The 26,875-nt window shown below is 40.7% G+C and overlaps 1 protein-coding gene and 1 long non-coding RNA gene across 7 annotated transcripts in view, besides 4 other annotated features; one reads left to right on the plus strand and one right to left on the minus strand.

The window, feature by feature from the left end:
• Positions 1–22,983, minus strand: part of ETS1 (ETS proto-oncogene 1, transcription factor) — a 128,794-nt gene extending 105,811 nt beyond the window's left edge. For 2 of the 5 annotated variants that reach the window (XM_047426527.1, XM_047426525.1), the window contains exons 1-2: positions 22,065–22,983; positions 8,487–8,569 (exon numbers count right to left, since the gene is read on the minus strand). In XM_047426527.1, the coding sequence (XP_047282483.1) occupies positions 8,487–8,569; positions 22,065–22,101 (120 nt within the window). In that variant the 5' untranslated portion in view covers positions 22,102–22,983. The remainder of the gene's footprint in view (positions 1–8,486; positions 8,570–22,064) is intronic. The other 3 variants (XM_017017314.2, NM_001143820.2, XM_017017315.3) reach the window with 3 other exon arrangements.
• On the plus strand, positions 736–25,084 carry LOC105369565 (uncharacterized). 2 transcript variants are annotated; one of them, XR_948163.3, is made up of 5 exons: positions 736–816; positions 1,246–1,881; positions 18,422–18,632; positions 21,765–22,385; positions 24,446–25,084. It is a non-coding gene; the product is annotated as an uncharacterized LOC105369565 (long non-coding RNA). The 2 variants fall into 2 exon arrangements; XR_948162.3 differs by lacking the exons at positions 21,765–22,385; positions 24,446–25,084 and having other exon boundaries at positions 18,422–20,353.
• Positions 11,618–12,118: an enhancer, noted in NCBI's record as "H3K4me1 hESC enhancer chr11:128446088-128446588 (GRCh37/hg19 assembly coordinates)". NCBI's record gives its function as "activates a minimal SCP1, AML or CMV promoter by ChIP-STARR-seq in primed H9 embryonic stem cells {active_cell/tissue: H9 hESC(primed)}" and the evidence as "EXISTENCE:reporter gene assay evidence [ECO:0000049][PMID:30033119]".
• Positions 17,822–18,540: an enhancer, noted in NCBI's record as "OCT4-NANOG-H3K27ac hESC enhancer chr11:128452292-128453010 (GRCh37/hg19 assembly coordinates)". NCBI's record gives its function as "activates a minimal SCP1, AML or CMV promoter by ChIP-STARR-seq in naive H9 embryonic stem cells {active_cell/tissue: H9 hESC(naive)}" and the evidence as "EXISTENCE:reporter gene assay evidence [ECO:0000049][PMID:30033119]".
• Positions 18,541–19,257: an enhancer, noted in NCBI's record as "OCT4-NANOG-H3K27ac hESC enhancer chr11:128453011-128453727 (GRCh37/hg19 assembly coordinates)". NCBI's record gives its function as "activates a minimal SCP1, AML or CMV promoter by ChIP-STARR-seq in naive H9 embryonic stem cells {active_cell/tissue: H9 hESC(naive)}" and the evidence as "EXISTENCE:reporter gene assay evidence [ECO:0000049][PMID:30033119]".
• Positions 22,936–23,142: a silencer, noted in NCBI's record as "fragment chr11:128457406-128457612 (GRCh37/hg19 assembly coordinates)". NCBI's record gives its function as "represses an EF-1alpha promoter that drives an FKBP-Casp9 reporter gene in an ReSE screen in HepG2 liver carcinoma cells {active_cell/tissue: HepG2}" and the evidence as "EXISTENCE:reporter gene assay evidence [ECO:0000049][PMID:32094911]".

Here is a 26,875-nt window from a genome sequence, read left to right on the forward strand (position 1 = left end):
ACACTCGCTGAAACAGGCTGAAGGACGGGGAGGGGGTGGAACTTGAGACCACAGTCCTGGGGACCTGCAGTTGACACTCTCTTGCTGAGAGGTCTTAGGTGAGAGACATTTTATTTGTAAGCTTCTAGATCTGCAGGTTTCAAGTTGCCCCTCGCTTAGCATGAAGCCTTCAGAAGCCCAGTGGTACCATGGGTGACAGCTTTAGGCATCTTGTGGTATGGAGATGGAGACTGAGGCTGACTCAAAACCTGGTTATGGACACGGTTGGTGGAACTTGCCATGGCCAGAAGACTATCCAGTAATTTCAATTTGCTCAGCAATCTACACAATGGAGTTTGGGTTTTTTGTTTTTTTTTGTTTTTTCCAGAATCAGGAAAAACTAATTTTTCATAAACAAGGCATACAAATACATGAATGAAAATACATTATAAGTTCTTACATATCACCAAATATCAAATAAATAAATAAATAAATAAATAAATAAAATAAATGTGTTTGTAAGGAGTTGTTATGGATGTGTTCCCCCAAATTTAGAAGTTGAAATGTAAAACACCAATGTGATAATATTAACAGGCGGAGGCATTATGAGGTGAGTAAGTTGTCAGGGCAAAGCCCTCAAGGATGGGACTAGGACCCTTTAAAAGGACCTGAAGGAATGGGTTTGGCCTCTTCCCTCCCTTCCGCCACTGAGGACACAGCGTTCATCCCCTCTAGAGAATGCAGCAGGAAGGGTCCATCTTGGAAGCTGAGACGGGACTCTCACCAGACACAGAGACTGCCAATGCCTTGATCTTGAACATTCCAGCATCCAGAACGGTGAGCAATAAATTTCTATTCTTTTTGAATTACCCAGTCTCAGGTATTTTGTTATAGCAGCACTAATGGACCAAGACAGGAGTGCTATAACAAAATACCTGAGGAAACTCCAGTAATTCATTTAACCTCTTAGGATCTGAATTTCCTGATATTGCAAGATGGTCTTTACATTGTGGTCTGACTCTGAAATTCTCTAGCTTGTGATGATTGAACCTAGTAGCTTACAGAAGCCCCACAGTCCAAGATGCTGGAAAAATATAGGTTATTTTCTTCTTTCCTTCAATTTCTGTGACAACCACTAAGAGTTATGAGCATAAATAATTTCCCTAAACATTATGTTTCAGCAGTCTCATTCCCACTTTGGTTTTAAATTTCTTTTTGTGGATTCCCACTTCTCTAGTACCAAATAATTTGTCCATTGCTCTCCAGGATTCCCAGAGAGAAGGAAAGGGTGTCTTCACTAGGCTTCATGGTAGCAAGCACAATCACTGCATAAGAAGTGCAGGGACAGCAGAGTGACCCTTCTGTGAACACATCCAATGACTGGAGTCCGGAGGCCTATGGGCTGGAAGTGAGTGTGCCAACAACCAGAGCCCTGGGTAAGAAGGGAACTGCATCGCAAGGAGGCCCAATTAAACTGCAATTACTCAAGATAAGAAAACGAGGTCTGTTTACACAATGGGGTTGTAAACCACCGGCTGTGACAAGAGAACTTTGATCTGGTGGCAAGGGAGCTGTTTCTCATGCAGGGCAGTGATGAAACAAGGAGGTTTCCCAATGAGGATGTCTCCATCTTCACCCCAGTAGCCCCATCTTCTTCTGGTAGCACCCTTGCATGGACAAGCGGAAATCCTCACCCCTTCCCAGCCCCAGTATCCACCTAACACAATCAAAAAGTGAAGAATAGAAAGAGATGAGATAGTGACTAAAAGGAAAAGAGAATTGATGGAGGTCATCTTTGTGGAGGCGCTTGACAAGCATGTTCTCACTGAACCGTCACAGTGACCTTCCACGTACCTTATACCATGCCTATTTTACAGATGAAGACACTGAGGTTCAGAGGAGGTAAGTAATTTGCCCAAGATCAAATAGCTAAAGAGTACCAGACAGGGCCGGGCGCAGTGGCTCACACCTGTAATCCCAGCACTTTGGGAGGCTAAGGTGGGCAGATCACGAGGTCAGGAGATCGAGACCATCCTGGCTAACACAGTGAAACCCCGTCTCTACTAAAAATACAAAAAATTAGCTGGGCACGGTGGTGGGCGCCTGTAGTCCCAGCTACTCAGGAGGCTGAGGCAGGAGAATGGCGTGAATCTGGGGGGCAGAGCCTGCTGTGAGCCGAGAGGGCGCCACTGCACTCCAGCCTGGGCGACAGAGCAAGACACCGTCTCAAAAAAAAAAAAAAAAGAGTACCAGAGTACCAGACAGAATTTACTCCAGGTCTTTCTGATTCTAAAACCCAAGTGCTTTCCACTAGAATTTGGCTGGGACCCATTCCACAGCTGCCTGGACCAGGAGTAAAGGCTCTATCTCATGTCTGGTGTCAAGAAGACAGTGTAAGGTGCGTTGGCTTCTGCCTCACCAGAGGGCCTGAAGGTGGAAATAGAGTCCTGTGGATCAATCAACCAGTCGATCAATCAATTACGGAAGGAAGAAAGAAAATGTACAAAAGAGGAATTGCCCAAAAGGTTTTGTGACAGGGAGCTGCTCTGAGGGCCGTGGTTAATTTGGAGCTCTTTTTCTGCAATGCACTTAGCTAAGCCTCATGGCAGGACTACCCTCTATGCTGGTACCAACTAGAGATTCAGCTGACCCCCCAGGTACCCATGTCCCACTGGAACTGCACAGGAGGGACGGAGGCCAATGCCCAGAGCTGGCAATGACTGACAGCCTCCCTGGGGTCCCTCCCAAGGTGACATCCAGCATGAACTCAGGCTTATTTCCAGTGCCCTGTTCATTCAGTGCTCGTACGTCTGCAATACCCTTGATTTCACAATATTTTATTCTGTATAGTGAAAGAAATTAAGTGTCTAATAAATGGGATCCAATTTATACAACATTGAAGGCTTTCATGGCATAAATTCACAAGTCAAAAAACAGTCTTTTGTTGGACAGTTTCTGAACCCCTGTTTTCATTGAAACAACATAGGGACCATGTTTTAAGAGAATCACATTTGATTTAGGGAGAGTGAAAGAGTGGCAAGTTTTTTGTTTTTTGGGTTTTGTTTTTGTTTTTGTTTTTGTTTTTGTTTTTGTTTTGAGACAGAGTCTCACTCTGTTGCTCAGGCTGGAGTGCAGTGGCATGCTCTTGCCTCACTGCAACCTCTGCCTCCTGGGTTCAAGCGATTCTCCTGTCTCAGCCTCCTGCATAGCTGGAATTACAGGCGTCCAATACCACACCCGGCTAATTTTTTGTATTTTTAGTAGAGACGGGGTTTTATCATGTTGGCCAGGCTGGTCTCGAACTCCTGACCTCAGGTAATCCACCTGTCTCGGCCTCCTAAAGTGCTGGGATTACAGGTGTGAACCACCGCGGCCAGCCAAGAGTGAGGAGTTTTTAATACAGTTACTTCACCCTCAAATTACCAGGAATGTCCCTTAAGCCCAGAGTCTTATCATAGGAAATTCTGGCACTTGGGGATATGTAGTTAGCCTCTTGGGCATAGGTGCCTTCCCTGAGGTGGAGCACAGTGGGCCACTCCTGCCCGAGCATGTTGTTCTATCTCCCAAAGTCTGTGGCTCTGGGAGGAGGTGAGTGGGCAGTTCCTTTCCTCTGTACAGCCCAAGGTGTTTCCTAAAGCCCGCATGGCCAAAGGGGTCACTAGTCCCCCAGGAACTCCTCCGCACATCCTCCTTGCCGGTGAGACATCCCAGGCTGGGCCATGTTTAGTCAAAACTGAGAGCAGCCCAGCCCGCTCATTCCCGCCACTCTCAGCTGGGCCAGCACAGTGCTGTGAAGGGGAGAATGACGCATGAGAGGACAAAAGTACTGGGCTTGCAAGGGACTTCCAGGCTCACAGCGGGCTTGGGCTTGCAGAGGCAGCATAACAGGAAGGAGCACTTCCTCCCCATGGATGAAAGGGTCCCTGACACACAGCCCATAGAAGTACCTGGAAAGGTCATCCCTCCCACACAATGACCAGACAACTTCCCAAAGTGTTGCTTCTCCACCTCCCCACTGTGACACCACCTCATTCATTATGGCCTCCTGAAGGGCTGACCTTACGCATGGGGAAACCATGAGTCCTGCTTTTGAGAAACTGACGCTGAGGCAGAGAATGTGAATTCTGTGCAAAACCATGATTACCTGAGGCTGGCATGGATTTTAACCACTGTGGCTCCCATGGTTTCCAGGCATTCTTCCGCAGCAAATGACCAGATAACGTTAATGTGACCTCTAATTTACAAGCAAGGACTCCGAGACTTAGCTATCTTCAGGCGCAGAAAATACTGACATCCTATTTTCGAAGAGATTGTTTCTTGGCCAACTAATGCAGCATGCTAAGTAAGAGCCCCTCGGAGCAGGAACACAGTCTTACTTTCTTTTGTTAGATTTCCCTTTCTAAAGCAATAATTTACTAGTAACCAAGACCTGCTTAGAGCAGTCTGTACACACAGTCCCATTCTGCTTTCAAGTTTGATCTGTGGCTACTCTAGACCAGGTTTCTCAACGTCAGCACTATCAGAATTTGGGGATGGATAATTGTTTGTCATAGGAGGCTGTCTGGTGTACTAAAAGATGTTCAGTTACATCCCTGGCTTCTACTCTGATGCCAGGAGCACCTCCTAAATTTTAACAATGAGACACATCTCCAGGCATTGCCAAATATCCCTTTGGGGGACAAAAGCACCCCCTACTGAAAACCCCAATACTCTCATGGTTTTCTTTTCACTCTGAATTTACCATACATGGGACAGAGTTTCTTCTTTTTTTTTTTTTTTTTTTTTTTTGGTGTGTCAGACTAACTAAATCAGAGACTAGGGCACCAGGTAGGAGGACTTGGATTATTGGATTAAGCACCACGGGTTGAGCTCTGGACAGGGAGGCTCCAACAGAACCGAGAAGACTCTGGTTGCCTGGGGCTCTGACTTTCTTATCTAGGAAAGTTAATGAAGCTATGCTTACCCCTCCAGGGTATCTTAGATTGCAACTGAATGTGAGGTTTGTTTGCTGGTGTCTCTAGTGCCAATGTCCTAAGGTTATATTTTGTAGACAATTTACAGATTCTCTGTTTATCACAGCCCAGTCTAAAGTTAGAGGTTATGGTTTGAGTTGGTTTACTAAACTTGAGTTTATACCAATAAGTGTTATTTACTTCTTAATTTTTATTAGAGAAAGAGTATGTGAAAAAATTAAAGGGCTTCTTTGCTTGCTCTGGAAGGTTGCCTAAATCGTTTCAGGGACAGAGAAACTGAGGCCCAGAGAGAAGTTAGGAGTGAAAGTGCAAGAACAATAATTCAGCAGCTCTTTTGTACAACCTTCTGCTTTTACCCAAGCAACTTTGAACTTTTTAGTGAAAAGGATCTCACATGTTAATGTTTTTCAGATAAGGCTGTCATGGGTGGGAGTAAACGGATTATTTGGTTTGAAACCAATGGAAGCCATTCAAAATTTATTTAAAATATCCAGGGTGTTCAATTGCAGGGAGGTGTCTTTAGTTGAAATTATGCACTTAGAGTTATTTGGTTTGGGATTTTTTTATTCTCCCACAATTTTGAGATACCCTGCCTAGGATGACATTATATTATATCTGCAACTTTTATACTTATAATAGGCTTTTTATCTCAGTGTCTAAACTAAGTACATATTTGTGTGACATTTCTTTCTTTCTTTCTTTTTCTTTTCCTTTTTTTTTTTTTTTTAGATGGAGTCTTGCTCTGTCACCCAGGCTGGAGTGTGCAATGGCACAATTTCAGCTCACTGCAACCTCCACCTCCTGGGTTCAAGCGATTCTCATGCCACAGCCTCCTGAGTAGCTGGGATTACAAGGCATGTGCCACCACACCTGGCTAATTTTTTTTGTATTTTTAGCAGAGACTGGGTTTCATCATGTTGGCCAGGCTGGTCTCAAACTCCTGACCTCAACTGATCCGCCCGCCTCAGCCTCCCAAAGTGCCAGGATTACAGGTGTGAGCCACTGAGCCCAGCCATGGCATTTCATTCTTAGCCAAAATATTAATCTGTTTTAATTTGATTATAGTACCTGTAAATAGAATTAACATGGACTGGCTTTTAAATCTTATTTTTCAAGTCAATGACACATTTTGCTCTGAAATCACAATATCATTATTTATTTTAACAAATTTCTACAATATCGTCTTTAAGGAAATTTTAATGTCATTTGTGTTAACTTTAAATAATGACCTCTATGTGAGGAAAAGGAGGAGGAGCCCTTTTCTGGCAACTTCTTCAGCCCTCGATATGATCTTAAACTGCAAGTCCTTTGGCAATCGCTACTAAGCAAACTCGAGTGACTCCTTGCCTGGACTTGTCGTGTAGTGGAGTGTTGGGGAGTGGGCAGTTTAAACATATTTCTGATATATATTATCGTCTAAACCTTTTTCTGATTCTAATTTTTTGTAAAAGTAAACGGTGCTTACATGAACACAGAAGCCATTTTAAAAAGAAGAAAAATGTGGTAAAAACAGCTACTGAAGAGAGATGTCTCAATCATCCTTAAAATGTGTCTTTTCCCTTGAACAGAATAGCTACTGAGAGTTTTTGGTTTTTTTTAATGCTAAAAAAAGAACTTCAGGCTGGGCGCGGTGGCTCACGCTTGTAATCCCAGCACTTTGGGAGGCCGAGGCGGGCGGATCACGAGGTCAGGAGATCGAGACCACGGTGAAACCCTGTCTCTACTAAAAATATAAAAAATTAGCCAGGCGTGGTGGCGGGCGCCTGTAGTCCCAGCTACTCTGAGAGGCTGAGGCAGGAGAATGGCGTGAACCCGGGAGGCTGAGCTTGCAGGGAGCTAAGATCGCACCACAGCACTCCAGCCTGGGTGACAGAGCGAGACTCCGTCCAGCCTGGGCGACAGAGCGAGACTCCGTCCAGCCTGGGCGACAGAGCGAGACTCCGTCCAGCCTGGGCGACAGAGCAAGACTCCGTCAAAAAAAAAAAAAAAAAAAAAAAAAAAAAAAAAAAAAAAAAACTTCAAACAATTCAGGTCTTTTAATATACAATTACAGTGAGAGGTCACAGTTAACTGTGTCATACTTAACTTTAATCAGTGTTAAAAACTATACAGAATCTCTGGCAAGACAGTCAAAGACAAGTCAGAAATGCGTTCTTGTTTATTGGTGTTAATTCAGATCCATAAATGTACTGGGAAAAGTTAATAATAATAATAATATAATAAACTTATTTGCGACTGGGCTCAGTGCTTCACGCCTGTAATCCCAGCACTTTGGGAGGCAGAGGTGGATGGATCACCCGAGGTCAGGAGTTTGAGACCAGCCTGGCCAACATGGTGAAACTCTGTCTCTACTAAAAATACAAAAAATTAGTTGGGCGTGGTGGTGGGCACCTGTAATCCCAGCCACTCGGGAGGCTGAGGCAGGAGAATCGCTTGAACACGGGAGGCACAGGTTGCAGTGAGCAGAGATCAAACCACTGCACTCCAGCCTGGGCAACAGAGCGAGACCATCTCAAAGAAAGATCACTTGAGGTCATGAGTTCGAGACCAGCCTGGCCAACATGGTGAAACCCCTTCTCTACTAAAAATACAAAAATTAGCCAGGCGTGGTGGTGCAGGTCTGTAATCCCAGCTACTTGGGAGGCTAAGGCAGGAGAATTGCTTGAACCCAGAAGATAGAGGTTGGAGTGAGCCAAGATTGTGCCACTGCACTCCAGCCTGAGTGACAGAAAAAAAAAAAAGAAAAAGAAAAAAATAAATAAAATAAACTTATCTGTCCGTATTTCACTGTAAGAAAAAAAAAATTCAACATTTATGATGGCTATCTTTGAATAAAAACGTAACAGAATTTAGAAAGAATAATTAATGACACAGCTGCTGATATTAGTGTCTTTTAATACTGGAACTGATCAATATCAACATTATAAGATCCTCACGCAATACATTTTTGAGAAATTTGTCAAAGCATTTCTATTGATCAGCATATAGCTTGGGCAAGGATCTTCTCACCTATGGACAAAAAACTTCATCCAGTCCTATTTTAAAGTTTCTTTGTCCCCTCTTATTCTAGGATTTATGAAATTTTTCCATAAACTTATTGTCATATTCCATTTTCACTTTTAAAGTCTGTGATTAGAAAACTTGCATTATTGGCTTTTTATGTCTGAGGCCAAAAGTAAGTTCAATTATAATATGTATAGGAATAAGGTACCTCAATATGTAAAAAATCATCAAATGAACTGGGCAGTGAAAATCAACTGGCTTTAACTGTTCATCATATTTGAGTCATTTCTCTCAAACTCAAACATACTAAAACTTCTTCAGCAAATCCATCAGTATTTGGTTTTCTTTTATATGCTGATAAAATCATAGATAATCTTACAATTGACATCCTCCAAAAGATTCAAAGCTGATTCGAACCTTGGAGTTCAGGTTCCTGGCTTCTCTGTCTACTGGGGGTCAGGATACAGGAAGCACAAGGAGGAGGGGAGAAGATTGTGTGGGCAAAGGGGCAGGGAAGGGGCCACCACTCACCACCACTGCAGGACGAGGCGCTGAGTAAGGGACGGGGCTGCTCCCAGCAGAATCCACAAAGTAGCTCATTCTGCTCTCAGCACCTGTGTGAGAGAAGGCGTTGGCTGAGCCTCTGGATGCTCACAGGTTTGTGGATTAGAATACACAAGGAAGACACGAACCTTAGAACTAAAAGTCTCCTTAGGAGCCAACCAGTTCACTTCTTTGCATGGCAGGGAAAGCAATGGAAATTCAGAAAGATCAGTGACTAACCCCCAGCACCGGTAAGAGCAGACCTCAGACAGAACCAGTTCCCTGGTTGCAAGGTAACATGGATAACAGACCATGTCTACACACTGCAGACAGCAAGCAGTAAACCAGTGCACAAGAGGCACATTTTTGTAGGGTTTCTGAGCAGGAACCAGTTCTTGTGTGTCTCCCCCACCCACAACCAGGCCTGGCAGATAAGTAGGCATACAATACACAGTTGGGGTGTAAATTAATTGATAAAGGAATAAACATAGAAAGGATTGGAGAAAGGAAGGATGGAAAAAGCTCTCCTGAAGAGGTATGTCACCCAGTAACCCAAGAAACAGATAAACAGAGAGAAACCCTGCAAAAGGGATTGAGCATTATTGATCTTGAAAAAAGGAGAAGGGCTATTAAATAACTTGTTGAGAGCTATTTTCTACATTGGAAGTCTGAGTGTCTAGAATGCTTGAGCAATTTTCTGGCTGAAGGGATTTTCCAGTTAGCTACTGGTCATCATTACATATCGAACATCTCTGTTGACCTAAATACTTTCGAAAGTTCATTACACACTTTCATAAACTTAATACTATGCATTTAAAAAGTCGTTCTTGAATAATCTCGAAGATTAAATTCCTAGGCATACCAATCAGAGGCCAAATTCTTATTGTTAGGAAGTGACGCTTTAACTTCACTGCTTTCCAGTTTGTATTTGTCTGCCCTTTTCCTTAATTCTACATTTAAAGCAACTGATACATTTCAAGAAAAATCAAGTAATAAGAAATGTCTTATGTTCAATTTGCAGTTTGGTTCACCATCTTGATCCCTTTTTTCATATGAAATGTATTTAAATGTTTAAATGATATAGTTAAACAGGCTTGGCAATATAAAACTATACTGCCTAAGGGCTACAACAACAAAGCTACTAATATCATATGGTTAAGGGATGTAAGCTACAAACCTCCTGAAGTCATAACTTATCCTAGAACTATACTTTGTGTTTTTAACTAAAACTTTGCCTTTTTCTTATGTCTTTTCTTCCAGATGTAGAATGCAGTCAAAATAACATTAGTTTTAAAAAATTAACTAAGGGTCTGAATAGCTAGACTATGTTAATCAAGATTTTGTCCTTTAGTTTTTTAGGAAATTGATCTCCACTACAGCAAAACCACCCCAGGAAGAGCTCCTCATTGGTGAAGATGAATGGTAGGAAAAGCTCAAAGTACCCTAGGCCAGGGACATTGTTAACATCTGCGTCAGGGGTCACTACTCAGTGTTTGTTTCCAAGAACAGTGAGTACCTATGATGGGTCTGACTCTGTACCAGGCACTGAGCATGAAATAAGAGTAAGATGCATGTCACGTGGTTTAGATATGCCTGTCCTGACCATACACTGTGAGGATCATCTCACTGAGCTCCATGGCTCCTTTCCCACCAAAGTGTTCCTCGTTTTTACTCTTAGAATCAAGTTTTAAAGTCCTGATGAATCATCATCAAACCATATATCCCACTTCAAAGTTTTTGATCTACTTTGAGATCTTTGGTTGAGACATAAAAGTTAACAACATTGATTGTGTCATATGATAATGGCTTAACCACAATCAAATTCCCTAGGGAAATGTTGATCATCCCTCCAGGGTCCTGCAGGGCAACTAATACCTTCTAGAAATGAATACTTTTTGGAATTCCCCCCAGTGATGTGGGAATGCTGTTTCATGTAAACATTCAACCCTCTGATTTCCTCCAAAAAAAGCCCCAAGGATCTCCTGAGTCCTCACAGACCTCAGTTACAGTAGTCTCCCCTTACCCAAATAGGATTTGTTCCAAAACCCTCCAGTGGAGGCCTGAAACCTCAGATAGTACAGAACCCCATACATACTATGTGTTTTCCTATACATACACACCTATGATAAAGTTTAACTTATACATTAGACGCAGTAAGAGATTAACAACAATAACTAATACATGACTAGAACAATTATAACAATATACTGTGATAAAAGTTATTGAATGTGGTTTCTCTCTCTCTCTCTCTCTCAAAATATCTTACTGTACTGTACTCACCTATTTTCAGACCTTGGTTGACGGAGAGTAACTGAAACCTCGGAAGGCAAAACCACAGTTAAGGGAGTACGATTGTATTTATCCAACAATCATGTAATAGGCGTCCTTTGTTAGTGGCTTGTTTATTCATTTGGTAAATAATCACTATGCACCACTATGTGCCAGACACGGTCCTGGGCACTTGAAACACACCAGTAAACAAGGATTCCTGACCTCACGGCCCTTAGATTCTATCAGACTCAGGAAAAATCTGAGAAAGACAGGATCTCTATCTTCAGGCAGTGGAATCGACAGGCTCACACATAACTATAGCATAATGTGATAAGTAGTTGGCCAACAATATGGAAAAAGAAATAGGAAGCAGTCAGTTCTGCTGGGTGCAGGGAATAGGAAATTGTGAAAGATTGCATAGAGCAAGGTGTAACCACATGGCCCTATAAATCATCCCTAGAGTCCCACAAGTGGCAAAGGACCTTCACCTTTCAAATGCCTATTTTACTTACGTATTTCTAAGAGAAAGGACTTTTGGAATTGGCAGCCACATCCTGAAGCCCACCTCAAAGATACCAAGGGTTTCTGTCTGCTGGCCAGACAACACTCCCCCTCATAGCAACACTCCTGGAAAAGGGGTCAGTGGAAATATGTTTTCTCTTCTCATTGACAGAGTGAGAGAAGAAAGCTCTGGCCCAACATCTGGTGCACTCTGTGCTGGACTGTATTCTTGAAGCTATGACTGTATGAATGACACTTCCCTTGGGGAAAAGCCCTTTGCCCAGAGAGGAAACTGACAAGAGGGAGTTGCCAGGGCTCTCAAGGGCTCTCGTCTCAGGAAATAACTCTTGGACAGAAATGGATTGCTGCTTTATTATTTTTTTGGAGAAAGAAAAAAAGAACCCGCCCTTTTTCCACTTGTAGATTGTGACACAGAACAGCTGCTAGAGACGTAAACCTTCTCAGAAGAAGTAAATGAAGTGTTTAGGTAGTTTTTTTAGTAGCGTTTGTTTTTTCTTTTCTTTTTTGGCTTTTTGGCAAAAGAGAATTCCCTCCCACAAGACAACTGCTTGAACATCAGCTGCACCAACTTTTTTCTTAGCATTGCACACGTTTATTGCATAAATACAAGCAATTGTGGCATCTGAAGATTTACTCCCCAGCGAAGAAGCATCCATGAGACCTGTTTGGGTGCAAAAATGATTTGGACGCTGGGTAACAGAGGGTCTTGCAGAGCTGAGTTTATTTTTCTTGAAAAGGACCTGCGCCACCTGAGCCGCAGGATAAGTGGGTCAGAAAGGAGGCTGCCCTGCTCTGGACTGTGGCTTGCTGTGCCCCCCCATGCTCCCTCCCACCTCTCCAGCCCCCTCTCGCCGTGACCCCTGCACCCTCCACTGCAACATGGAACTCTGTTGTTTTCTTAGGCACGCGTTGCCAGGTCTCACTCCCCTGCCCTTCTCATGTTACCCCCTCTGCTAGGAATGCCCATCCACCCTCAAGATGAGTGAACCCTGCCTCCTCAGGGTTTTAGGCTCAGCTCAGAGGTTATTGCAGCCTGGAATCCTTCCTGAGCCACGCTTCACCCCAGCCAGGGTTAGCGGCTCCTTGTTTATGTTCCCAAAGTGTATTTCTATCACGGTGCTTATCACATTGTTTTATTACCATCTGCTTCTGTTTGTCTCTCCAGCTAAATTCTCATCTACTTGAAGGCAGGCACCATGCCTTTTTCATTTTTGTCTTCAGCACTTAAGACAGACCATGGGGCATAATGGAAACTCATTGTTTTTTTAAATCAGTGAATGAGTAAATGAATGAATTGGTCTCACAAGACTAAAAATGTAAGAGGTAGATCAGATGTGAATATATTTGTTCCTCAAAATAGAGAATCTGAATAGATTGCAGGTCTAGATAAAGAACCACTTGAAATAATCAGTTTGTTTCATGATCCATTTCTAAGGGAAAACCGTTTCCTTCTATTCACATAGCTATTTAATGCCCCCTCATCTAAGAAGGCTTTTCCCATCACCGCATATGAATAGCAGCGCCTTTCTCCGTACTCTGACACCTAGGTGTTTGTTCGTTGTCTTCTCCAAAGTCCACTCTGTTAGAATTTAAGCTCCCCAAGGGGGAGATTTAGTTCATTTATTCACTCCAGATCCCTGGATCCTAGGCCAGTATTGGAAAGTAGCTGGCACATAGATAACTGTTAAATACAATAGTGTAAGTTAGAAAACTTGTACACACTTTTTCAGTGTAAACCCCTCTTTTTACAAATGAGGAGAAAGACTAAGGCGATGCTGCTAATTGGCCAAGCTGAGACCAGACTCCTGGTCTTCAGCCTCCTCCTGTGCTTAGAGAAGATGCTTCTCTAGACCTTTGTTACCCAGCGTCCAAATCATTTTTGCACCCAAACAGGTCTCATGGATGCTGCTTAGCTGGGGAGTAAATCTTCAGATGCCACAGTTGCTTTGCATTTATGCAATAAACGTGTGCAATGCTAAGAAAAAAATTGGTGCAGCTGATGTTCAAGCAGTTGTCACGTGGGAGGGAATTCTCTTCTGCCAAAAAGCCAAAAAAAAAAAAAAGAGAGAGAGAGAGAAGATGCTTCTCTAAGCACCCTCATCACCCTGGATGGCGAGGACAGAAACAAGCATGAGATGGAGAAGACAAAAAAGTCAACACTTTGGCTTATGTGGGTGTCTCATGTCCAAAAAATCACTTTAAAACTATGGTTCTGCTTGATTCTAGAGAGTTCTATTCTTCATAGAGCGAGTGACCACTTCTCCAACTTCCCACCCTCCCCAAACTGGCAACCCGGCCAGGACCTGTAGGCTCTCACTTCCTTTCACCCAAAGCTTGCCAGGGCAGGGCAGGGCAGGTTGAGAGACACAGAATAAAGGAAAAATTAGGGAGGAGAGGGACTGTTCAGGCCAAGGCAGCAGAAGAACAAGAAATCCCAAAGAGACCAGGCTTGAATCAAGGCTGAATCCAGTTCACATCAACTCTGACCCTGCTTGGCTGTATTTCTAGATAACTTTGACATCAGTTAAGCCTTTTTCATTTGGGGTTATGTATTCCTAAAAGAAAAACTACGCTTTTAGGTAAATACCAAGTAAATTACACTTTAATTTTTTTCTTTTGAAAACAAAATTCTTTTGAAATCAGCAGTTTTTGCCAAACTAATACAATGTTACCGCAAAAATTAAAATACAAAAAAGTAACAGATGGATATTAGAATCACCTGAAACCTCACCATGTAGAGATAATTATACTAATAATTTGTTCAATATTCTTCTGGGTATTTTTTAATCTATCTAAACGAACATAGATGTCACACACACACACGTGATTACAATTTTACCTTCATGAGATTATTCTCCACATGTTCTTTTGTAACCTGCTTTGTTCACTGACATTTAACATAATGCTATGGACATTTTTCTCTGTTGATAAATGTGGCTGTCTATCCTAAAGATGATGACTGCCAAGTATTCTATTGTATGTATATATCATACTTTTAAAGAGCCTCTTATTATCGTATAATTAATTTGTCCCCAATTCTTTGTCATTATAAAAATTCCTAAAATATTTTACATTCCCACTAAATGCCGAAAAAGAGCATTTTGGGGACAAAGAAAATATGCATTCCATATTTGAATACATATTGACTAACTGCATTCTATAATAGACCAGCCAAAATTAGACTCCCACTGACAAAGGCATCATGTTTTAAATTTCAACTTGCCCTCTCGTCTTCATGTTAGCTTCATAGGCAATGAATTATGGTTAAAACATATCCTGGGTATGAAGATGGCACATGGGGAATTCAAAAGCACAATAAAGCTGTGGCAGAAAATGTAGATTTCTCCCCACCACCCCTCACCCCAGCCTTTCCTCTTTGAAAACAATGCAAAATTTGAATAGATTTCCAATGAGCATTTATCCTAATGTCAATAATTTAGGATTCCTATCAATTCAAACAAAAAGCATGTCCTTTTGGCTTGGAATACAGGAGACAAAGAATTTGGCTTCCAGGGCTGGGCTCGGTGGCTCACGCCTGTAATTCCAGCAATTTGAGAGGCCGAGGCAGGCGGACCACCCAAGGTCAGGAGTTCAAGAGCAGCCTGACAAACATAGTGAAATTCCATCTCTACTAAAAATACAAAATTAGCCAGGTGTGGTGGTACATGCCTGTAATCCCAGCTACTTGGGAGGCTGAGGCAGAAGAATCGCTTGAGCCTGGGAGGCAGAGGTTGCAGTGAGCCGAGATCTCGCCATTACACTCCCACCCGGCAACAAGAGCAAAACTCCATTGAAAAAAAAAAAAAAAAAAGAATTTGGTGTCCAAAACAACTAACCATGTAAAAAAAACTTGCTCCAAACAACAGCACTTTTGCCAAACTAAAGGCAACACCTGGGCTACCAAGGCAACATCTTTAATCTACAATGTATAGAGTTTTAATTTCTTTTTTCTGAATACTATAGAAATGTATTTTTGAAGACTCAGAGTATCTCCTCTTTCAGGAAGCTTTCCCCTCCCCCCTACCCTCTTTGGCAATTGCATGGACCTCCTTGATGCCCCTCCATGGGATTTACTGTAACGGTGTAACAAAGTTCATGACACTTCCTGTATCTATGCCTGTTTCTGCTCCTGAATGATGAGTAACTTGAGAGTAAGGATGGTGTCTTTTCAGATGACACATAGTAGCCATGCAACAAGTGTCTGTTTACTAAATGAGGGAAAGTACCTAAAGTACTTGAAACAGAGTTGGTGTGTACAATCCTTGTGCGTCCTGAGCTTATCCAAGAGAGTAAGTTATCGTTTGGACATTAAAAAAAAAAAAAAAAAAAAAAAAAATCCCTGTGATGAAGTGTGTCCTTGTGTGACCCTGAGGTTAGGCTTCTCAAGAGTTAACTACAAGCAAGATGGCACTTTTCTCTAAACTATAGGATGTACCAGATTGATGAGTTCATCTATACTCCTTCAGTGTGTTCTTTCTGATTCTCATGAGTAGCCCACGTGTATTTCCCAAATCATTTGAGTAGATGTCTTCCCTGACCTGTCACTGTAACAAAAGCTCCCAAATCCAATTCTCTAAGAACTCAGGTTTAAGATCCATCATATCTAGGAAAGCTGAACATTCCTTACTCCCCATGGAAACTTTGTGGTTACAACGCATAGAAAAGAAAAAGGATTAGAAGAACTGAAGATGGTTTTTCTGTCTCACTACTAAATCTACAAGAACCTCATTTGCTTGACTAAGTAATCCAACATTACAGTAGTAGTGAATATTCCTTCTTATTTTAAGTAGCCAGCACTGACAAATGAAGGCTGTGTTCCAAATTATGGGCTACTGTCTTCTGTGTCTTAAGCTAAGTGCATTTATTCTTTCACTAAGGTTACAGAGCAGCAACTCACAGTACAATTAACATCTCAGTCTTTGTTTCTTCACAACTTCACTATAATTATTCCGCCAACCCTTGCTTAAATGGAAATGAGTCATATCCATCTCCTATTTCTCTAAAAATAAACCCATCTCCTAATTAAGCATAACACTTTCAAGTCCTGTATGAATTGACATAGCTCAACGAATCCTTCTTAGAATATTAAAATGAACTCATGTCATTATAATTTTAAAGAGTATATTGTTTTACCCTTCCTTGAGGAGTAACTCGCTACTATCTCCTGAAAAAGAGAAAGACTAGAAGATGTTTTACTCTGGTATACCATAGCAGTTAAGAAATAAGGAATGCTTCATAGATTATTTTATGCATTTCCTTCTCAGTGGAAACAAATCCCTCACCATACAGTACTGAAATGGCATTGTCAACAATGGACAGAAAGGTCTTGCTTCTCCTAGGCATCAAGGAAATACATTAAAACCTGCCGACTCTTAGGTCTAGGAATCTAACTAAGAAAATGCCAATTCTAGTCTCTGAAACCTTTGAAATACTAACAATCTACACTTTCTAGTCAATCATACTTCTGTCAGAACATCTTCCTGAAGATCAAAGGTAATATTCAATACACTGCCTTACCATAAAAGTGGCCATAGCCTGTGTACAAATGCTATGCCTCAAATCCTGTATTTTACCATGAAATTCAACAAATGATCACACTTGGCCTTAGGATGTACTCCTGAGCCAGAAGCATGGTAAGTACTCATAAATAACTGAATAAATAAATAAGGATTGTGTTTTACTTCGAACCTCAAAACAAAAAAAGAATAAGCTGGAGGAATAATGTAGAGTACTCTTTGCTTTCCAAGAATGGTCGTAATAGAGGCCATGGAATAAGAGATTGTTTTCCAAGTCAAATGCAAAGAAGGGCCACGAGATTAAAAACGTCAACTCTAATCCAATGAATGCTGCCAATGAAACCTCTGAAGAGACTAGCATTTTAAAGAATTACATTACAGACTCTTAGCCTGTGAAGCATGTCAGACATAATCTAGAGTTTAGACTTGGCTCTGGCTCTAAAGGAATTCTCAACAAAACTGAGAGGCACCATAAATAGAAAGAGATATTACAAGAACAATGAGAGGGGACTGGATAGTTGCAATAATGCCCCTTTAAAATTGAACTAAAAGATACCAGCTGCCTTAGATCTCTCAAATCCAGCAAGCAACTTCTTGGACTATGTCTGATTGTGATTTTCATGGTGGAGTTTCATTTGTTTTATTACCCGAAATGTAAGGTTCCAATTTCTCAGTATAATGCTAAACAGCTTGCTAGCATTCTTATATAAAGAGGGATTGTGCAATTCCAGTGAATTTTGGAGTTGGAAAAAATTCATCAATCTTCTCATTTATTTCAATGAACTGAGTCCTAAGAGGTTACGTGTTTAGCAGTGATCAAGAACCCTGGAGTTACATACTATGGGTGAACGTAGAACTGCTTGCTGCGTGTATGGCCATGAGCAAATTTCTTAACCTCACAATCAGTTTCCTCAACTATAAAATGCAGGTAATAATATCAACACTTTCAGGATTATAGAGGAGGATCATACAAAACACAAATACTTAGCAGCATGCTGTATAAATAGTAAAAATGGTCAATAAATAATAATTGTTATTATTGCTATTTTATCAGTAGTGCCTGGCAATTAGTAAGCATTAGTAAATGCTTACTAATGTCACTAATTAGTAACACTACTGTTTTATATTAATTACTTTTTTCTACTGCCCAACATGGCAGAGGTTATTTAAGTGTTAGAGCTAGAACATGGATAGCTAAATCTCTCATCTCTTTTTCTAAAGACTTGTATTCAAGTCATGAAAACAGGATTCCCTTTCATAATCATAGGTTGAGTAGCATTAGTCAAGAATTTTGCAGGAGAAAAGAGCCACAATTTCTGTTTAATGGTAGTCTGTTTGTACCATTGTTATGCATAAAACCAAGAAGTAAGCATTTTTCTTACAGTGGAGAACTAACTCATTGAAAGATTGCATAGCACAAATGGTGAAATATTGCAGCTTCCTGAGTTAAACCAACATCTTTTTGATATAATGTCGATCTTTTGTGGACTTACGCTTTAGCAACTAGATACAAATATAAGGAAGTAGTAAAGCACTGCGGAAAATAGTGCAAGATTTCTTGTTTGTTCATTTTTTTCATTTTTGCTTTTTCATTTGTTTTTGCTTTTTCTTTAGAGCAGTGCCTCCCAAACTGTAATGTGCATATGAATCACCCGGGGATCCTGTTACAATGCAGTCTGCTGCAGTAGGTCTGAGGTCTGGCCAGACATTCCACATTTCTAACAAGCTCCCACGTGGTGCTGATGCCGCAGGTCAGAGGACTTCACTGTGAGTAGCAAGGCAGCGCTGGACTAACTTGGTTGAACTCATGAGTGATTATAACAAGGTAGGTGTTTAGGAGGCAGAGCCCAAGGAGGAACAGGCAAGACTTCTGTGCCAAGGCTGAGCAGATGCTGGTAACCTCAGGTGCAATACAAACCCGGCTGGGGAGAATTGAGTAGCTCAGGACCTGTCAGTGTCTCAGGAGCCATATGCCAGATGCACATCTGCCAAGACTTCTTGCTTTTCCTAAGAAGACATGGTTCTAGTTATTTGGTCCCTTTTATCAAGAAACTGGCAATGGTGCTTTCTCCCATCAACAGAAGTCATTTGGATTAAGGATTACAAGAGGTGCCAAGAGATAATTTAAAAGAGTTATTTGCATTATATGTTTTTTTTTACAATTGTAAAAGACTCACATGTTTTGGAAACTTTTTGTACATTGTTTTGCAAACTTTTATGCATCTGGAATTATTTCAAAGTGAAAAGTTTTTTTTAAGTCTCTAAAAAGACTAAATCTCTTTTAAATCTCTAAAAAGACCAAAATTCTGGAGTTTTCTACCTTTCCACATCTCTTGAAAATTTATATATTTTTTCCTCCCCATTGAGAATATTTTCCTGACATTTGCACTAAATGTTTGTTGCTTACTCTCATGCTAGTAAGTACTACCCAGCCTGTTCCCTCTAAGTTCTGAAGGCAGCTCCAACACTTGATTACTGGAATATGAAATCTATCCTCTTTTGAAAAAAAGGCAGATCAGAAACATCCTTCCCTCACTGCTCTAGATACCATTTTTTTCTACCTGAACTCCCAAAGCATGTATAGGTTATACTACACTACTTAATAATTATATTGTCTTTCATTTTTATCCTCTTTTCTAGTAAAGATTATTGTGTTAATTTTAAAAATGGAGTTTACATATTGTTTCTTCTGTGTTTGGTATGGTCTCCAGCACAAGGCTGGGCATGGAGTAGAAATAAAACTGATATTTGTCAGGGAAGGGACTGACTTACTTACCCAGGAAACTAGGCCTGGGTAGTCTTTCTTCAAAGTCAGTATCTTCATAACAATGAATAAGTAATCCACAGATACCACTTCAGAAAACAGGCTTAATCCAGTGTTCTCCTAGATAAGCAAATCAGTCTAAGCAGAAAAATCTATCCTAAATTTGTGTAAATGTCTTAGAGTTACTTAGATTCCTATGACATGCAGTTCCAATCACAAGCTCTGGGTTCACATTCCATTGGCTCTAATCAGGGTCCACCATGAGTTAACACGGTCATATGACTGAGCCTCAGAGTCCCCACCTGGTAAATGGGGATGACGAGAGTGGAGTGCCCACCTCAAAACTTCATTGTAGATTAAATGAAGCAGTCCCTGCAAAGCACCTAGCAAGGATGTTGGAACATACCAAGTGCTCAGTAAACGTTAGGGCTGAGTATTCCTCCTTAGGTGAAATGAAGAAGAATGGATATGATAACTAGAAAATCATCTACATTAAAAGGTGGAGTTCAATAAGCTATACTTTCAGTACAGCAGGGATAAAGGAGATGAGGAAGCAAAAAGTAAGTTATGTCTTCACATCTAATTTTTCCCAGGATTGAAGAAACTTAAAAGATTTGCCTGAAATGCCACTAAATTGCTGCATACCACATTAATTTTGCTCAAATGCTAAATACTTTATCATTTCCATAATGAAGAAAGAAAGGGAGGAAAGGGAAGGAGGAGGGAAGAGGGAGAGAGAGAAGAAGAAGAAAGGAGGGGAGAGAAAAGAAAGAAAGAGGAAGAAAAAAGAGAAAAGAAAGAAAGAAAGAAAGAAAGAAAGAAAGAAAGAAAGAAAGAAAGAAAGGAAGGAAGGAAGGAAAGAAAGGAAAGAAAGAAGAAAGAAAGAAAAGAAAGAAAGAAAGAAAGAAAGAAAGAAAGAAAGAAAGAAAGAGAAAGAAAGAAAGGAAAGAAAGAAAGGAAGGAAGGAAGGAAAGAAAGAAGAAAGAAAGAAAAGAAAGAAAGAAAGAAAGAAAGAAAGAAAGAGAAAGAAAGAAAGAAAGAAGGAAGGAAAGAAAGAAAGAAAGAAAGAAAGAAAGAAAGAAAGAAAGAAAGAAAGAAAAAGAAAGGAGGGAGGGAGGAAAGAAAGAAGGAAAAGAAAAGAAAGATAGAAAGGGAGGGAAGGGAGGGAAGAAGGAAGGAAGGAAGCAAGGAAGGAAGGAAGCAAGGAAGGAAGGAAGGGTCCCAGCTCGTGGGACGTAATCATTCCCTTCTGCTGTTTGATGTGAACAGTTGGGAATTTTGAACTGGTAATTAGAAAATGATAGTCACTATGGAAAACAGATCTATTCACCAATAATTAAAATCACAAGGTACATCAGAACCTCAGTTATCAGTAAGAAATTCACCAGTGCAATCAAAGAGAGAAATCTGTTGATTATTTGTTTGCAGTGTTTTGCCTTCTGCCTCACCCTCCCCTAGGTGAGAGGACCTGCACCCACACACCCAGTTTGTTGAAGTATTACTTCAGACAGTCCTTGACCTCACTGGCACTCTGATTTTTCATAGCCCTATGCTGTTTACTTCTATTCTCTCATATTTGTAAACCAGGCGGGGCGCAAATGATTGCTCACCTTTTAGAGATGAAGGGAAGAAGGCACAGACACGTTCAATCCCTGTTCTCTGTTACAAAGCTAATCACTGACATAATCCAAGTGCACAGCCACTTTCCCTTCTCCGACCCAGCGCTGGTTCAAGTTCTGACCCCACTTGCCTTTGAACTCCATTATCGTCCGGGACCGGCCACTGGCCCAAGTCGGTGCTCTGGCCACAGACTGCCAGATGCCAAAGGATCCCACCCCTCTACCAGCTTCCCCCAGGCTCTGCCTCAGGACATCCTTTCACAGCCAGCAACTAGCACCTCCGTGTAAGGAGCCTGCCGGGCAAAGATGCCCCCTCCATAATTAGGCTCTCGGCTTGGCTTCCCACATCCTCAGCAGCGGAACCAGGACGGAAGAGGCTGCATGGATGCCTGAACTGTTTGTTATTTCACTATTGAGTTGGCAAGGATGGAAGTAGTTGATTTACAATTAGAAGCAGCATGCTTCTTCAAATATTAATATTAATAACTGCACTACTGAACACATGAAAAGACCTTTTCATCTTCAAAGCACTTTGCAGACATTAACCCATTAGCTCTCCCTTCCCTCCATTCAGGAACAACAGGTGAGCAAGACTCTCAACAGCAGCAGTGGCCACCCTGCAGCCCTTGTGCACAGCCCACGGCCCCTGAAGAAAAAGCGTTTTCTCTTTGGATAAAAATAGGCCACCAAACCCAAAACCACAACTGATGAAAGAGTTATAGTATCAGTAATTTTACAAATCAAATGGAGCTGATGGAGTTATCATTTTAGAATTGGTATTTCCTGCTGTTTAACAAATACTTTTTTCTCAGTTGCATGGCAGTGGTCTAAAGTAAGAAGGAAAATGGACTTGAGATTAAAAACAAAAACTTACCCAAAAGGTGATAAAGAAATCCTGCAATAGAATGCATTGATTTCAGTGACCCAGCACCCTTTTAAGTTTGCCTGAAGAAAATACTACTTTAAAAGTTGGTAACAGAGACCTTTAACGGTGGGTGAGGAGTCACATACAAAGTGTCACGGCCAGATAAAATCACCGGATGCAGAGGAATTGCCATCGACATCTCCTGCCACTGAGTCCAGCTCTACCGTGGGGACAAGAAATACCTCCCTAACTCTGAGACAACCGCGGCCCACACCCACACCATGTCTCAACAACAGACTTAGGAACTTGTAGATCTTTGGACAACTGCAGGTCAGTCCCAAGACAGAGAAAAACACCAAACAGGCTAGTTTGGCTAGCAAGATTCAAACCTGTAGCAATTTCCTCTCTATTAAAAGCAATTCATTAAACTACTAGCAGGAGAAAAAAGTAAAACAATAGATTTACTAGGAGTGAAAGAGAATAAAAAGAAATTTATATATTTAACTACAGCTTTATTTCTTTGGAAGTGCTCCAATTTGCAAAAAAAAAAAAAAAAAATCAGGGTTTCTGACAAGTAATCTACGGGTATCTAAAACGTGCATGGTTTTACTTTTGTGAAGCAGGGAACATTTTTAAAAACATAGTCTTGCTTTCAGACTATTCTGACGAGGTTAGGAAGTATTTTTGAAAATTGTTAAACAATTAAATGGGAATATAGAAAGACGTGAAAAGAGAAAGAGAAAACTCACTTGTATCCTGAATCTCCCTACCGACTTACTCTTTAATTCCACAGAAATTTTTTTAAAGCAGGAAAAGGAAAATGGACTGAAAAGTTTTAGGCAGAAACTGACACACACCTCACTTACTACTTTGCCGGAGAGCAGATCCTGAGTGAGCTTCCCTCAAAGTCTGTGGTCTCTTTCCAACTACCTGCGGGAATCCTCTGCTCCGTAGCTTAAGAGGATGCAAAGACCATAATGTTTCTAATAGAGCTGCCTCCTTAAATTGGGGGGTGTGGTCAAGCCAGGGAAAGCTGGAAAAAAGGCAGTCTTCCTCTTGCCCCTGGCACCAGGACAGCAGCCACTGGCACAGGCACAGCAGTCTAGGTGGAAAGCACTGTTGATTGACAGTGGTGGCACCAAATCACACATTATTTCGTATTCTTCAAATTGTGCTTCAGCTGAATATAACTCAGCCTTGGAGAGTAACAGGGAGGGAGATGAGCAAAAGGGAACTAGTTCAGTGGGATAACACTGTATCTCACCTCATCATTTGCTGATGCATTTACTCTCTGCTGAATATGTAAATATTCATGCTTCATGTTCCTTGACTTTCTCAATGGAGCCCCCATTAACCTAGGCAAGGTCTCAGGTGAGGGAAAGGGATTGCTTTAGAAACACAGGACGTCCACCACCCAGTCACCTGCTCAGGCTTCCCGTTTCTCTCTAATAACTTGATATGAAATGTGATATTTTCTAAAGAAAAGAAAATAATTTTGTGGAAGAGAGCTGACTGGATATGGACTTGGGATTTCTGAAAAGTAAAGCTAAAAATCCCCTTTTCATATAAGTCTGGTTTTAGGCAATCTCTAAAATAAGGATACTTTTAGCAGCCCTGACTCATGGTCCGTGGTGCAGGAATAAAAGGGCAGAAGTGTTCATACATTTCTCATTTAGGGAAAATGTAAACAATATGAAAATCTTACATCTGTCCTAAGTGAAAATACACAGCATCTTTTATTCACATATTCAGGACTATGGTAAGAATGTTACAGCATAATCTCATTTCTATGAATGGAGTTATTACAATTTTTTTTGAGAAGTCAGTATTTGGCTGCTTAATCTAAGACTTTTATCCTAAAAGATTCCATCTTCTTTGAGTAGGAGGTGGGAGTTAAGATTTGTCATAGTTGGCTTCTTTCTCTTTTTAATAAAGATACAAACTTAGAAAATCCTTGAAAATCTAATAACTGTCATTTGGAGCCATATCATCATCAGCCTTCATTGTATAAAGCTGGCAATGCAGTTAAGATGACATTGTAAGTAAAGCAAGATTTTACTGCTCATCTTCTGCCTTTGCACATTAACTTGGAAGTAAGGAAGAGGTAATGCTATTGGTTCACTTTAGTTTAATAAATTGCCTGTGCCAGGCACTGTTCTAGGCACTAGAAAGATAGCAAGTTTGCATTGTAGTGAGGAGACAGACACATAAATCAACGATCTCCCCCCAAAAATGTAATACATGCTACAAAAGAAGTCTATGAAGAGAGCTAGGGAAGCTTCAGCCTGCCCCTGTAACCCAGTCAATTTCAGCACACTGCCCCATTTAAAGAGCCCACGGTCAATTATACCAATCATAACTAATTACAACTGTATTCACTATGTTTGCAGGATAATTGAAAAAAACAAAGTTGAGAAGACTTGGATTCTTGCTCTATAAGGGTGTACAGTGTGGCTGTCAAGGGGTTCTGAAGTCTGGAGTTGTCTATGCTGAGTTTATATAGAAAGCAACTCTTCAGGACCTTAGCTCCCTCCTCTGACACGGCCTTTTACGGTGTGGAAGAACATAAACTAGAAATCTTAATAGTGCAAAATAAGCCACCACTGTCATAAATTGCCTAGAGAATGCCCAGGAAAACAGTAAGTTTTGTTTTAAACAGTATTTTCAAAAATATAACATTAGATGGGTATCCACATATAAGAGCATGACATTGGACTCCTACCTTACACCATACTCAAAAATTAACAAAAATCTATCAAAGATCTGAACATAAGAATGAAAATTATAAAATTCTTAGAAAAAATCAAAGAAGAAAACTTCATGACATTGGATTTAGCAATGATTTCCTGGGATATGACAGCTTATCCCAGGAAAAAAAACTTGGGCAACAAAAGAAAAAATAGATAAGTTGGACTTTATCAAAGTTTTAAAATGTTGTACATCAAGGGGCACTATTAAGACAGTGAAAGGGAAGTCCACAGAATGAGAAAAAAAATTGCAAATCACATATCTAATAAGGACTTAATACTCAAAATATATAAAGAACTCCTACAACTCAACAGCAACAACAACAAATAACCTGATCTAAAAGTGGACAAAAGACATGAGTAGACATTTCTCCAAAGATGCAGAAATGGCCAATAAACACACGAAAAGAAGGGCAACATCATTAATCATCAGAGAAATGCACATTCGAACCACAGTGAGGTACCTCTTCACATCTATTGGGGTTCCTATTATCAAAGAAACAGAAAATAATGGCAAGAATAAGGAGAAATAGGAATAAGGGTGTGTTGCTGCTGAGAATGTCAAATGGTGCAGCCACTGTAGAAAACAGTGTGGTAGTTCCTCAAAACAATTAAATATAAAATTACCATTTGATCTAGCAATTCAACCTCTACATATATAGCCACAAGCATTGAAAGAAGAACTCAAAAAGATGTCTGCACAATATTGTTCATAACAGCGTTATTCACAATAGCCAAAAGGTAGAAACACCCCAACTATTTATCCACAGATAAATGGATAAGCAAAATGTGGTATGTACAGAAAATGGAACATTATTCAGCCTTGAAAAAGAATGAAATTCCAATACATGCTACAGTATGATGAACCTTGAGGACATTATGCTAAATGAAATAAACCAAATACAGAAAAGACAAATATTGTGTAATTCTACCTGTATGAAGTACCTAGAATAGTAAAATTTATAGAGACAGAAAAAGGGATAGAAGTTAACACAGGTTGGAGAAAGGAGAATGGGGAATTCGTGTTTAATGGGGACAGAGCTTCGGTTGGGGATGATAAAAAAGGAATGGAGATGGATGTGGGTGATGGTTGCACAACATGTGACTGTACTTAATGCCCCTGAATTGTACACTTAAAAATTGTTCAGATGGTAAATTTTACGTTACATGTATTCTACCACAATAAAAGAATATGTTGTCCCGAGGGAAAAAAAAAATATATATATAGCATTAGAAGTCAGTAGGCTTCCGCAGAAGGAATGCTTTCTGATCCACATGGATAATATAGGACAAAAGAAAATGATGCTCTAGAAGAAGAAGGTATGAAATCCCTGGAGGATCCCTCCACTGCACGGTGGTGGCTCCCCAGCCCCTCCCTTATGCCGGCTCTTGAAGAGGGTGTAGTAATACCAGCCCAACTTCACAGGGTTGCTGAAATCACCATGCGATTAGATGACTGTGTAAACAGTAGAAGCAATGCTTTTCTTTCCCATGTCCATAGATAGCTCTATGAGGAAAGACCTCAATTGATAGGGCAATATGACCATTATGATTCTCAAGGAAAAAATTAAAACTCAGTGATCCAGGGACATGGGTACCTTTTGATCCCATGTAAAAGGGATATGCAAAATGAGTTGTTTGCTTCTTTGAAGGAGTATCTCTGTAGCCTCACCTAAACAATCGTAGTCTCAATATAGTTTGGATACAAGTGAGACAGAGCATGAAGGAATTTCTAGAATAGCTTTTCTTACTGTAAGGAAACCTTTTTCCTTTTCTCAGTATAACAAGTTACCTTGTAAGTTAGTATGTCTTAAGAGGAAAAATGGAAGTAAATTCCCAGAATCTTAGCTCTGCAAAGGTCTTCAACGCTCCCACCAGCAACCTTCCCTCACTGCCACCCCAACTCCCTAAAGTGCAGAAGTCCCCTTCAAAGCAACTTATAATGATTCTGTAAAACCACCCGCTGCAGGAAAAGTGTGAAGTTTGAAATTAAAAATGGCATTAAATTTAAGGAAAAGCAAAGCAAAACATTACACACGTATTGCATTTTCCATATTAACTTTCCTTCCATCT

Source organism: Homo sapiens, chromosome 11 (assembly GCF_000001405.40).
Source record: "Homo sapiens chromosome 11, GRCh38.p14 Primary Assembly".
NCBI lineage: Eukaryota > Metazoa > Chordata > Mammalia > Primates > Hominidae > Homo > Homo sapiens.